This window comes from Homo sapiens, chromosome 16, assembly GCF_000001405.40.
Source record: "Homo sapiens chromosome 16, GRCh38.p14 Primary Assembly".
Lineage (NCBI taxonomy): Eukaryota > Metazoa > Chordata > Mammalia > Primates > Hominidae > Homo > Homo sapiens.
Window position 1 is genome coordinate 78,201,798 of NC_000016.10, and position 13,088 is coordinate 78,214,885.

Genomic DNA, 13,088 nt, shown 5'->3' on the forward strand with positions numbered 1-13,088 from the left:
CAAGTGATTCTCTTGCCTCAGCCCCCTGAGTAGCTGGGACTACAGGCACGTGCCACCATGCCTGGCTAATTTTTTGTATTTTTAGTAGAGACGGGATTTTGCTATGTTGCCCAGGCTGGTCACGAACTCCTAAACTCAGGCAGTCCACCCGCCTCGGCCTCCCAAAGTGTAATCCTGGATTATAGGTGTGATCCACCACACCCAGCCTTCCTTTTGTTTTTGATTTTTCCTCTTTAAACTCTACTTGTAACCACCCCTTTCCTTTCCCAAACTTTTACTAGCTTCTTCCATCCTGGACTTGCAATCTGGCTGAAAACCTGCTAAATAAGGGAACAATTTTGACATGGCTCCTGTACTCCCCACAAACCTAGTTGATTCCAGACCAGTAATGTCTTGGGGACAGTGTTGTCCCATCTTCCTTTCTAGGCTGGGCTCAGATTACTGACGTGGAAGAGTTGTTGGTCCTGGTGCAACATGCCATGACCATGAGGCCTCTGGTAGAAAGGAAGGAATGAAGGGTGGTTCTCCAAACCCTTGGCCCATGCCTCATCCTTCTGTTCCCTTCCTTTTCCAGGTACGTAGCTGGTCAGGTTTCTTAAATTCCGTCGATCTGGCTTTATCCATTTTAAGCCTTAGGTTGTTGGAACATAGCTAAGTTGGTCACCTTTTCAAGAATTGAATCTCAAAAAAGCCATGTAGACCTCGGTTGTAACCATCACATTCATTGACTTGGTTGTTGATCTGTTTGTCAGATCAGTTTTCTGTTTGGGGAACATTTTTGTAAGTGCATGTATTTCAGCTTTTAACATTTTAAAAATAAAATTTCATTGGGAAAGAAATTTCATTCGACTGGAGTACCAGGAACTTAGAATGAATCCATTTGTCAGCAGTATTTATACCCTGTCTAAAAGAGTGTCCTCCCAGTTCTCTGTCTCTGTACTGTGTCCCCACTTTAAAAAATAGCTCAACCTCTCATTATATTTGCAATTTTTTGTTTTTTTCATTGCCTGGTGGGTTTTTTTTTTTTTGTCTTTTTAAATGCTCCATGTAGAAAAGAATTCCTGGAATAGTTCTTGGAACAGCATAGGTGAATAAATGAGCAATTATTTTGTCCTCAGCACTATAACTGATTTGAGAAGGTCAAAACAGAAAATAAAAACATGTTTCAGTAGTACCAGTTCCTGCACAGGCTGTCTGCCAACTATGGAAGTAAAGGGAATAGAATTAGGCTGTCTGGATTATAGTGGGAAAACAAAACACAATCACATCCTGCCTCAGCCTATCCTTGAACTGGTGTCTTTAGAAAGGGGAGGTCAAGTAAAGGCCATAAGGCTGGATGGTGGGGAAGAAAGAGGCCTGGGAACAGGTGAGAAACTGCAGAGCCTGGCGGAGTTCATTTAACCTCACTGTGGTTCTGTTGGACTTAGTGCAAAATCAAGAGACCCACCTTTGCCTGCCCATCCTGCAATGGTTTGGGGGGCCCCAAGTAGATGACTGGGGAAGATGACTGGGAAACTGCAGCACTGGTTCATGTTCTGGGACAAATCAATATTAAGCAAGTTTAATGATGGGTAGGTTCATTCAAAAGGGAAATATGTTTCAATGGAGAAGAGAAATTTGTTAGGTTGTATAATAAATATTTTGAGTGTATTTGGATAGAAGTTTATGACGGAAAAGGCAAAATTCTCTGTGTCTTTATGGGGAGATATTCGATATGTTTTTTCTTGGCAGAAATAAAACATATTCAATAATATAATTAGGCAAACTTGTTTTAGTTGACAAGAAGACCGTATCTCCGTCTGCAAGATGAAGGCAAGATCAAGAGATGTCAGTTAACATTCTTGCGACCACAGGTAGGGAGGAGAACTGGGGAGGAATTTATGGATAGGTGAGAGCATAAAACTAGATGCGGAAGGGATGGGGGAGCAGGTAAAATAATGAGGCTCAATGTTCAAGAAGGTCTTGGGCAAGCGCGTGCTAGTTATTTTCCTCACTGGTGTGGTCGTGACAGATGAATCACATTTTACTCTCCTCCCTTTCTCATAGTATGATTACATAAAGGAGACCTTCCCTGGAAAGAGCCCTGTGCATGGCTTTTGAGAGTGGGCCTGGGCTAACAGTGAGTGTGGAAGCTTGCTGCCTTGAATTCTTTCCAATTCTGGAGAGTTGATGGGTAACAAGTGTGTATCTATAGTCTGCTTGGACATGGCGGTGTGGCCACTGACACGTTGTCAGCCATCCCCTCAACTCCAGGGACAGGAATGGTGAGAAGGTGGTGAGGGCACAGTCTGCCCGGAGACGGGACAGTTTGTACTACCTGTAGCAAGAGCATGTCTTTGAGAGCCATAGCAGCTGGCTTCCTATTTGGAGAGAACAAGAATGTGAAAAGCTATTTATTACCAGATGTGGGCAGACCCTCCAGCCTTTTTTTGTTCTTTTAAACCCTAATCTCTTTTTAAAATTTTTTTTATTTTTAATGTTTATGGGTACATAGTAGGTGCTTATATTTGTGGGGTACATCCGATGTTTTGATACAGGCATGCAATGTGAAATAATCACATATGAAGAATGGGGTATCCAACCCCTCAAACATTTATCCTTTGTGTTACAAGCAATCCAGTCACTCTTTTAGTTATATAAAAATGTACAGTTTAAGTTATTATTGACTATAGTCACCCTGTTGTGTTGTCAAATAGTAGGTCTTATTTATTCCTTGTATTTTTTTGTACCCATTGACCATCCCCACCTCCTCATCAACCCCCCACTACCCTTCCCAGCTTCTGGTAACCATTTTTGTGCTCTCCATTTCTGTGAGTTCAGTTGTTTTGATTTTTAGATCCAAGAAACACAATCTTAGATGCATAGTAGGTGCATTCTGTTGCCATCTGCATCATGGGACTGCACAATCGGAGAGGCAGGAAGGCCCTGAGAAATACCTGATTACACACCTGCGTGCTGGGATGAGAAATATGAGGGGAGGAGAGAAAAGATGAGCCTCATATTGCATAGCAAGTCTGTGATGGAAGCAAAGTTAGACCCTGTTGATTTTTATGTCTTACCTCCTTGCCATTAGTTAGGTAAATTTAGACCACCATATTTTCTAAGATCAGAGAATAGAGAATTTTAAATTCTAGATTCTTGCCTTGTGGATGTTGAAAAGAACAATTAAAAGTTATTTGGGATATCCAATCAGTTAATAAATAATTATGAATGAATAAACTGTTTTGTTGAAGACACTCTTATGGCAGACATGAACATGGGGCTTAAATCAGTTCTGACATCTAGAAGCTCAAATCCAGGAGGCAGAGGAGTTGGATATTAAAGAACTCTGTGGTGAGCTGGACAGGATGACATGACAATTATGGAAGTTCAGAGCACATAGCAGTCTTTTCCAGTGATGGGGATGGAATGTGGGGGTCATGGAAGACTTTGTGGAAGAGTTGCAAGTAGAATTATTACTGTTGAAAAGAGATGGGGAGTTAGGTAGACAAACAGAAAAAATGCCACCAAACAATAAGTTAGGATAGAAAAACTCCACGTATCCATATGTCAGTTGGCCCATCTGTTCGTTCATACATCCTTTCATTCTTCTATCCATCCAACCGTCCTTGCATCCATCTATCCATCCACACAACCACTTATTCTTCATTCATCTGCCCATCTGCCCACCTACCCATCCACCCTTCCATACATTCATCTAGTCATCCCCATCCATCCACTCATCTATCCACCCATCCATCCACCCATGAATCTATCCATCCATCTGCCAATCCACCCACCCTTCCACTCACCCACCCATCCATACACACTTCCATCTGCCTTTCCAATTATCCACCCTTCCATCCATCCATCTACCCACTCATCTACCCTTTCATACATCCATACACATCCATCTGTTCATTCATCTATCCATCCATGCATCCTTCCTTCGTTGTTTTCTTCCTTCTATCCATCTATTCATCTACCCACCCCACCCACCTATCCTTCACCCATCTGGCCATCCATCCTTCTACCCACACCTTCCTTCCTACCTTCCTTCCTTCCTTCCGTCCTTCCTTCCTTCCTTCCTTCCGTCCTCCCTTCCTCCCATCCTCCCTTCCTTCCTCCTGTCTTCCTTTCCTTTCCTTCCTTCTCTTTCTTTCTTTTGTTCCTTCCTTTCTTTCCTCCCTCCCTTTCTTTCCTCCCTCCCTTCCTCCCTTCCTGTCTCCATTATTAACTTGCTGGTATTTTGTTTCACCATTGCATTGTGTTTATCAATAGACGATTAATGGAAGAAGAGAAGAAATCAGGTGAAGTCTTTGTAGGATCTAGAATGTCTAGGCTAAGGAGTTTGAAATTTTTTATACTATGTTCTATTGGGAACCATTTCAGGGTTTTGAGATATAGTATGATATAATAACAGCTATGCTAAATTCTTTGAAGTTATTGGTGGTGGAATATCAATCCAGAATGAAAATAAATAATTTTGGAAATGAGCCTGTCATTGAAATATACTTTATTTCTCGTTAAATGTCCCAGCAAAAGTATTTTGGTTGTTAAAATAAAGGAACAACCATTAGAAAGGAGGAGGAGAAGAATTAGAAGGAAAAAAAAGGTAAAGGTAAAGTACCTTGGTATTTTAGGGTTTCTAAGATTAGGAACTTTAAATGTTGACCCCATTTTGGTCTTTACCTTCAAAAGACGGGAGAAAGACTGAGAGAAGTTTCTAAGCTGATGCTGCTCTACTACCTGGAGTAGGAATGAGAAACCATCTATAAATATTACCTTTGGTGTTTCCATCAAAAATTTAGAATTTCACCCTATTCTATTTTTAATTCTGGTTTAAGACTGAAGGGGTTCTTGGTGAATACTTTTGTAGATACAATTAATAGTTATGAAAATCATTACTGATTACCTCCAGGGTTCAGATATTGGGCTGAATGTCTTCTCTCACCATCAGAACTACCTTTTGACTAGAGTGTTAATTATTAACATATTTTAGATTAGTCAGACAACTGCAATATTTAAGGAATACGTCCAAGGTCACACAACTAAAAGAAGTGACAAAGTACGGTTTCAGACCCTTTTAGTCTTTTCTGTGTTGCAAAATTGAGATAATGATAATAGCTAATGATACCTCTCCCTTACTGATAATTGAATGTTTTATGTGAATTAAAAAGTTTAATCTGCATAGTGTTTCATCAAGATAGATTCCTTGTTATCCTCATTTTGGAGATGAAGAGACTCAGGCATGCAAAGGTGAAGTAATTTTCCCAGGGCCAGAGGGCTAAGGAAAGGGAGAATTGGGATTAATTCTACATTGTCTACTGGTAATACCTATTGCTCATTTTTACCAGTTAAAACTATTTAATGAGCATTTGCCCACTTTCTAAAAATATGATGGTCTTAGTTACCCACATGGACCTACTCTATCCCAGGCAGATGCCACAAATTATTTTGTTTTCTTTTTGTATATATTTATGCTGTTTCCTCATTTTTAAATAGTGGGCTTTGATGACTATTCTTCTACATAAATTATTACATATCTGTATCATAGAATCTTAAAAATTATTTGATTCAAGTGTATACATAATTTTCATATCCCTGATAGATATTGCCAAATATTTACCAGAAGTGAATCAAGTAGTTTTTCTACCAACATTATCTAAGAGGGCTTGTCTTTTTACATCTTTGTCAGCACTAAGTATTATCTCCCTTACTTTTTTTTTTTTTTGGTAATCTTTGTTACTTTGTTAGGATTAAAGTAGCTTCTCATTTTAATTTTCACTCCTTTAATTGAGAAGCAGAACGTATTCTTTTTTGGTGACTTGTTTCAGAGTCTCTTTAGTTTGAAGATACAATAGATGTAGCATCTGCTATATCCGGTAACAGGATAACAGTGCATTGCTGGGATGATGAGGCTGCAGTGGGCTGTGATTGTGCCACTGCATTTTCAGCCTGGGTGACAGAGGAAGACCCTATTACAAAAAAAAAAAAAAAAAAGGGTCTGTTATCAACCATGCTTTTTTATTTTATTTTATTTTATTTTCCTGTTTCTGAGTTAGAGTCTCTTTTGCTCAGGCTGGAGTACAGTGGCGTGATCTTGGTTCACTGCAGCATCAACCTCCTGGGCTCAAGCAATCCTCCTAGCTCAGCCTCCTGAGTACCTGGGATTGCAGGTATTTGCCACCACGCCCAGCTAATTTTTGTATTTTTAGTAGAGACAGGGTTTCGCCATGTTGGCCAGGCTGGTCTCGGACTCCTGACCTCAGGTCATCCGCCCGCCTTGGCTTCCCAAAATGCTGGTATTACAGGCATGAGCCTCTCCATCTGGCCTCAGCAGTGCTCTTCTGGCTAGCTTGATCATATGCCAATGTTTTATTCCTTCGTGGAGCTCAGAGTAAGCTTGTTTTACTGGACGTTTTCTATAATAAAGCTAGGGGATGGCGAATCATTCTAATTACCAAAAAGCTGTCTTTGATAACAATGTAGGAGATAACGAAGGCAGAAATAACATTTGAGTAATTCTTTGCCATTCTGTCTCTGAATCTTGAAATAAATACTCTTGAATTTATATGTTCTTGGTCCTTTAGGAGTCATAAAAACATACCGTTACATATGTATATGAAACGGTGAGAAACTGCGTATTTATTAAGAGTCACGACCCTTAGGACTAGACAAATCAAATTAAATCTCATAAAAACCTGTTATGGAATATGAATACGTGGCACTATTTTTTCTTTTAGGGTGTCTTTATTAATTTTGTCATGTTTAATATGTTGCAGTTGCAAACAAAGGCATAAATGCATGCGTTCATTCCTAATTAATTTATGTAATTGGGTTTTATAAATTTAGCTGTTTAGGAAGCTGTGCATAACACACTCCATTTACTGTGTGCTGTAGCCAATAAAAGCATAATAGAAAGAAATATAGTTTGAAGCTCACTTCAATGGTAAATATAGATTAGTTGTAAATGATATCTTTGTAATGTTTATTTTAAATTTTGCAGTGCTGCAGATTTTCTGAACATACCAATTAATGTTCTTATTTGAAATAATGACTAGTTAATTACTATAAATTCTAAGTGCTCCATCTCTGACAATTAAAAATTGTCTTACAGCTTTTTATTTATTTATTTATTTTTTTTAGATCTTTCCAAATTATATTAAGTGCAGCATCTGGGGAAAGAAGAATGGGAATGGAAGGAGTGTGTTTAAAATGTGGGTGGTTTTGTCAATTCCTATTGGGAATGCTTGTATTTGAATGTATATACATATGCATATTTATGTGTAATGTCTATTTCATGCTAAATAGGGAGTGATCAAGTTGAAAAATAAGAAATGCTGTTTGAATTTTTAAAATAGGTTATAAATTATAACATGAAAATCAAATACAATGGGTAAAACCAGTAAATTTTAAATAAGTTTACATTTGTTGTCGTGATGTGACTGTGACGTTACCTGAGATCTCAGCAAGGAGCTCTGCAGCCCGAAAAGACCAACTGGAATGATTTGATCAGAAAGGGAATGGGTATTAGGCTGCTCCACTGATACTTTATCCACTTCGGGAGAGAGAGCCCTGTTCCTTCTTCATCTAGCTCAAGCCAACTGTCAGAAATGCATGTCAGAGCTACACAATTCTATCCAAGGCATTAACTGTTGTCAAGTCTGTTTTTTATGAATATGTTTCAATATAAGAAATTGTCTTAGGCCCAAAGTGAAACGTCTTCCTCCTTGACTCATAGCAAGCTCATGCAGGTATTTGAACATTGTTCTGTATAATATGTGCACCTTTGAGAAATCCCATGATTCTTGCTATTCTTTGTAAATCTAATACCTTCCATCCAGAGAGAGAGTATACATGTGGAGTCAATTGGGAGTACCTTTTGTATCCTCTAGTCTGAGCCTTACAGGTTAAAGGAGAATGTTGGATTTGCTTTTGAAAGTATGGGCTTGCGGAGATTAAAAAAAAAAAAAAAGAAACCTTGAATAATCATGTACAAATATAAATACTGTATGTAGAATAAGTGTAATGGATCACATTTATGATGAAATATGTATGTCTTTCCAAGGGTAAGACCTTCATAATTCATTTATAAGTTACCTTCTTTCTCTTACATGTAAGTAGCAGAATAGTAATTTTCTTCGTTCTTTCTGAAGAATTGCCACACAGGGAATGAAAAGAAGAAAGGATAAACTTTTCTTAAACAGCAGAATGTTATTCAGAGATAACTGGAAAAAAGTACGAGAAAAGCCAAAAAGAAAAAAAAAAATTGTGGGTCCTGGTGATGTTGGAAAAATGACGTGTGAGCTGAAGTTCCAGACGCCGAGCTTCATCTATTTTGTCATGTTATGACAGAAATCATTACAAGGGTGATAGGTTTATTTATAAAGACTTGCTTCAATATTCAAAGTACATCTATTCTAGCATTCCTCATTTTGAGCCAGGCTGTGGATCAAGATGAAAGAAAAATTAAATTGTATATTGAAGAGCTCTTAATTGAGCCATGCTGTATTTAACAGGGAAGCATCGGCTTCAGGCAGTCGATACCACTGAGGATTTTTAATGCCCTGCATCATGAGACTGTCAGTTTGCTTTGGAGAATGCAAACAGGCTAATGACAAAGCCCTGCAAACTTTTGTAGTTGCTGCTGGTCTCTTTGGAAGGCAAGTGCTAATTTACCCACAGTTGAAACCTGACACACACACGCGCGTGCACACACACAGACACACACTCTCTCTCTCTTTCTCTGTCTCTCTCTCTTTCTCTGTCTCTCATAAGGAACTAAATCCTGCGTTTTCTCACCAGAGGGCTAATGACACACTGCTTAGTCACCCAAAACCTGTTTCCTAAGGAGCCACTTTGGGGCTTGTTTAAAGTTTTTAATGTAAGGCATTATATAATATTAGATTTCCCCTGTTTTTCCTTAATCAATGTAAATTCAATTGCATTTCAGAGGGTGGCCAAGTGGCATTTCATCATCTCTAATATCCATTTAAAAATGTTAGGTCTACCCAGTTATAATTCTCCAAAGTAGCCTATCTGTGGTTTAATATGTTATCTACATTCTCTAAGGCAGTGTTAATTTCCTTTTGTAGTTAATCTATCCTACTACCAAATTTAGTATATTTATAGTTAAAGATTCTGTTAAGAGCTAAGTGATTTAAGTACATCTGGGATAAAGTGGCCTTGGCTTTAACTATGAAACAAATTTTCTTTATTTCATTCTCTTCACTGATAAATCCATAGTAACTGGAGGCATTTTTAGAATTGTGGGCAATTTCAGCCTCTAAAGTTTGATTAAAGATACTTCAGATATTCCTACTGAGAGGCTAGAGGGCTGAAAGGAATTTATTTTGGGTTCTGGCCCTAGTGCAGCTCAGTGGAAGAGAACAGACATTGTGAGTTTAATTCCCACGCTGCCAATTTCCCACGAGTCTAGGGTGGGTGTTACTTCTCAAGAAGGCGATGGTAGAACCGCTGGAGACTTCTTATGGCTGTGGCAGGGGACTCACACGTCACAAGGAGTCCAGAGGCATGGCTTTGAAGAGCTCTTTTCATTCATTCTTCCTTTTGTTCACTTGTACATCAAATACATGCTGTGGGCCTACTGTGTGCTGAGCACTGATCTTGTCAGGTTCTTGGGGAAGACTTCATTGCTGAGGTGACCTTTGAGCTGAGTGTATGAGTGCAAGAGAGAGCGATCACACCTGGGAACTGCTTAATAAAGTCCCCGGCATCTTGAAGCCACTTGCAGACCTTGGCAGTTGCTGTTGCTCCTGCTGCTGCTGCTGCTGCTGCATTGTCAAGACTACATTGATGTCTTGGAAATATAGAAAAAAGAGGCTGCTGGACTGTGTGCTTAGAATCAGTGTGCTAACTCTGTTACCAACACCGTAGAGAAGTGGTTCCAGAAGGAAGAGTTCAGGGTGAGAATGAATAACGGAGTGGCTTTGCAGTGGGAACCTGGCTTTGCAGCACAGCTAGGATTGGAGAAGATCTTCCCAGCAGGGAGAAGAACTCAAAGAACATGCATGAAGGGAGGAAGGTTGCACCAGTGGGAGGGACCAGAATATGGTGTGGAAAGAACGAGGTTCAAATCCAGGCTCTGTCATTAACTGCCCCTACCCTCTCTGAGCTGAGTTTGTTTTGGACACTGGAGATAATGCATGTTAACATCCTGGTAGCTCTATTTATTTGCTACCATGGTACATAATCATGGGAGCTCTATTTATTTGAACATCTTCTTTTGTTATTATTTGGTGTATTTGGGAAAGGCATGTGGGAGCAGCAAGCAGGTGAGCATCCTGTTTGGAATGCAGGGCCGGGAACTGCCCTGCCCAGTCCAGCCTCATTCCAGAGGCTAGCACCTGGCCTCAGCTGTAGAGCTGCTGGGAGCATTTCAGCTCTCTGCTTCTTTGGCAGTCTAGTGCTGTCACAGAAGGAAAGCTCACTCCATGGAAAAGGGGGGATTGATTTCTTCTCTGAGGGCAGAGGCTGATCAATCTAGGCTGGTAGGAATAGATGTAACCTCAGAGGAAACAATTTGCATTGGCGAAAGCAAGTCAATGGCCATCCCCAAATTCAAAAGGACAGGGAAGTGTAATCCTACTGTGATCCCTAAAGCATCCAGGCCCCAGGAATGGTGGTGATTTGCCAGGGGGAAATGGAGGAACAACCCCTTCTTTGACTACCTCTGTAGTTTATATTGGATTCTGCAAAGTCCCATGAGGACTGATAGATGGGCTGTGTCTGCATTTGAATTTTGTAGCTGAAATGTGGGTGAGTTCACCTAGGTCCCCTTCATGACAAGGTGGTGAGAAACATTTTCTTGTTCTACAAATCTGAATTAGGTCCACGAAAGAGGGTATGCAGCATAGAGAGGAACCAAAAAGGACGCAAGATTTAGGATAGATATTGCCCCTTGGGAGGCCTGCCTGGTCTGCCCTTGATAACTCATGAACAGTCTGGTAATGCTGGAAGGCAAAGTAAAAGCCAACCTCTTGAGAAAGACATGGAACACAGGATGGAACTTGAACTGCTTAAAATGGCTTTTCTCAGGCCAGCTGCACTGGAGTGTGCTGCTGTAACAAACACGCCCGGATCTCAGTGGCTTAGCATGGTGAATTCATTTCCCATTCGTGATATCTGACCACAGATGGGAGGTAAGGGGCTGTGCTTTAAAGTCATTCATGGATCTGGCTGGGCCCGATGCCTCACACCTGTAATCCCAGCAACTTGGGAGGTGGGCGGATCACTTTAGGTCAGAAGTTCGAGACCAGCCTGGCCAATATGGTGAAACTCCATGTCTACTAATAACACAGATTAGTCAGGTATGGTGACGTGCACCTGTAATCCCAGCTACTCGGGAGACTGAGGCACAAGGATTGCTTGAACCGTGGAGGCAGAGGCTGCAGAGAGCTGAGATCATGCCACTGTACTCTAGCCTGGGTGACAGAGCGAGACTGTATCTCAAAAAAAAAAAAAAAAAAAAAATCTTTCAGGGATCCAGGCTGACCTCAGCACCATCTCTTACATGTGCCTCTGTTCTTTCCCTAATATAAGGGAGCATGGGGGATTAGTGTCTGGCTTAAGCACTTCCACTCAGAAATCTTGCTTCTCCCCACAATCCATTGGTGAAAGCAAGGCAATGGTCATGCCCCAATTCGAAAGATAAGTGCAGTCCTACTGTGTGCCCTAAAGAATTGAAGATCAGGATACTTATGAGCAGCGCTCACAACTGCCATAGTGGCAATGCGAATGGCATCTATTTTTAATGTGACTGAGAAAATAATTGGTCAGATATTGCAGGATTTTTGTGGGGGAGAGGGTGGAAAAGAACTTACAGATTAAAAAAAGAACTGGCATAGCACCTAGATTTTAAACAGAAGGAAAAGATGACATTGGGGACCAGAGACAGAAATTTCACTTCTGTGCCATGACAAATACCAGGGAGATGTAATTGCAAAATGAAGCTGCAAATGTCTTACCCAGGGAACTAGGTGACAACCTGCTTGGCTTCATGAAGAAGGAATAATATCCAATTAGGCTAAGTGTATTCGGTGCCTGAGTGACAAGCCCTGGAGACCTGAGGGCTTCTGGGGCCCCCAGGGCGGTTTCAGGAGGCTGTCTCCAGACCTGTCCGGGGTGTGAGCATGTCACGCTGTGGCCCGCGCCTCCCCTGTACAGCTGCCTCTGCTCTTCTAAGCACTGAAATGAGAGGTGTAACCTGTGTTCCAGAGTCTGCGCCTCCCAGCCACTGGGGCAGGGGCACCTGGCCCATCAGACTTACCTTGCCTCCCCTGCTGCCCATGCCCTGCTGCCTAGGGCTGGGCTCATGACTGGGTCCACATCAGCTCCACATTGCAGACTGACCCCCTGGACCCTCACGTCTCAGGATCCCTATCTCCCTGTCAGTGCTTTGTCACCCAAAGTCACCGCAGCTCCTCTTGAGTGCTTTCAAGATCAGACCGAGGGGTCCTAGTTCAAGCTAATTCCTACCTGTGCGATCACTAGCCAAGTACTGAACCTCTCTGAACTTCAATTATCTCATCTGTAAAAGGTGTTGGTTTGTAATTGTTCCTACCTCTTAGGGCTTTTGTGAGAGTTTAGATGATAAACCACCAAGCAACAGTGGCTGGCATTCTGTGCACAATCGAAGTCTGCTGCTGTCAGCTCTGTGGTCGCTGTCTGCACTCCCACCCCTGTCATCCTCCAAGTCTGATCTCCTCCCGAAGTCTCTTCCTGGACCTCAGCCCTCAGGGATTGCACCTCCCTCTGAATATGCTGTCCCTTCTAATCATGCCATTTAGCCACACTGCCTAGCACTTTCTTTTTTGAATATTCGTGTCCCAGGTCCCTGAAAAAGTTGCTAAGCCTGCTAAAAGCAAGGCAAGGCCTTTCTTTCTTTGTAACCTTAATGCCCAGCAACGCTCCATTCAGTTTGACCCTCAGTTGGCTTCATACTTTGATTTTATGTCTTTATTTGTTTCTTAATGAGCTACTTTATCATTGTGAAAACAGTTAAATATCAATAGTCAATGAATAAATATTACCAAAAAAAAAAAAAGGTTTGTCGTTTAAAAATTTGGAGCTGGGCTGGAAACTAG

The 13,088-nt window shown here is 41.1% G+C and overlaps 1 protein-coding gene across 4 annotated transcripts in view, besides 1 other annotated feature; it reads left to right on the top strand.

Moving 5' to 3' along the window:
- The window catches only part of WWOX (WW domain containing oxidoreductase), a 1,113,014-nt gene that overhangs the window by 102,144 nt on the left and 997,782 nt on the right, over positions 1-13,088 (top strand). The window lies entirely within an intron of this gene.
- Positions 12,163-12,662: an enhancer, noted in NCBI's record as "H3K4me1 hESC enhancer chr16:78247857-78248356 (GRCh37/hg19 assembly coordinates)". NCBI's record gives its function as "activates a minimal SCP1, AML or CMV promoter by ChIP-STARR-seq in primed H9 embryonic stem cells {active_cell/tissue: H9 hESC(primed)}" and the evidence as "EXISTENCE:reporter gene assay evidence [ECO:0000049][PMID:30033119]".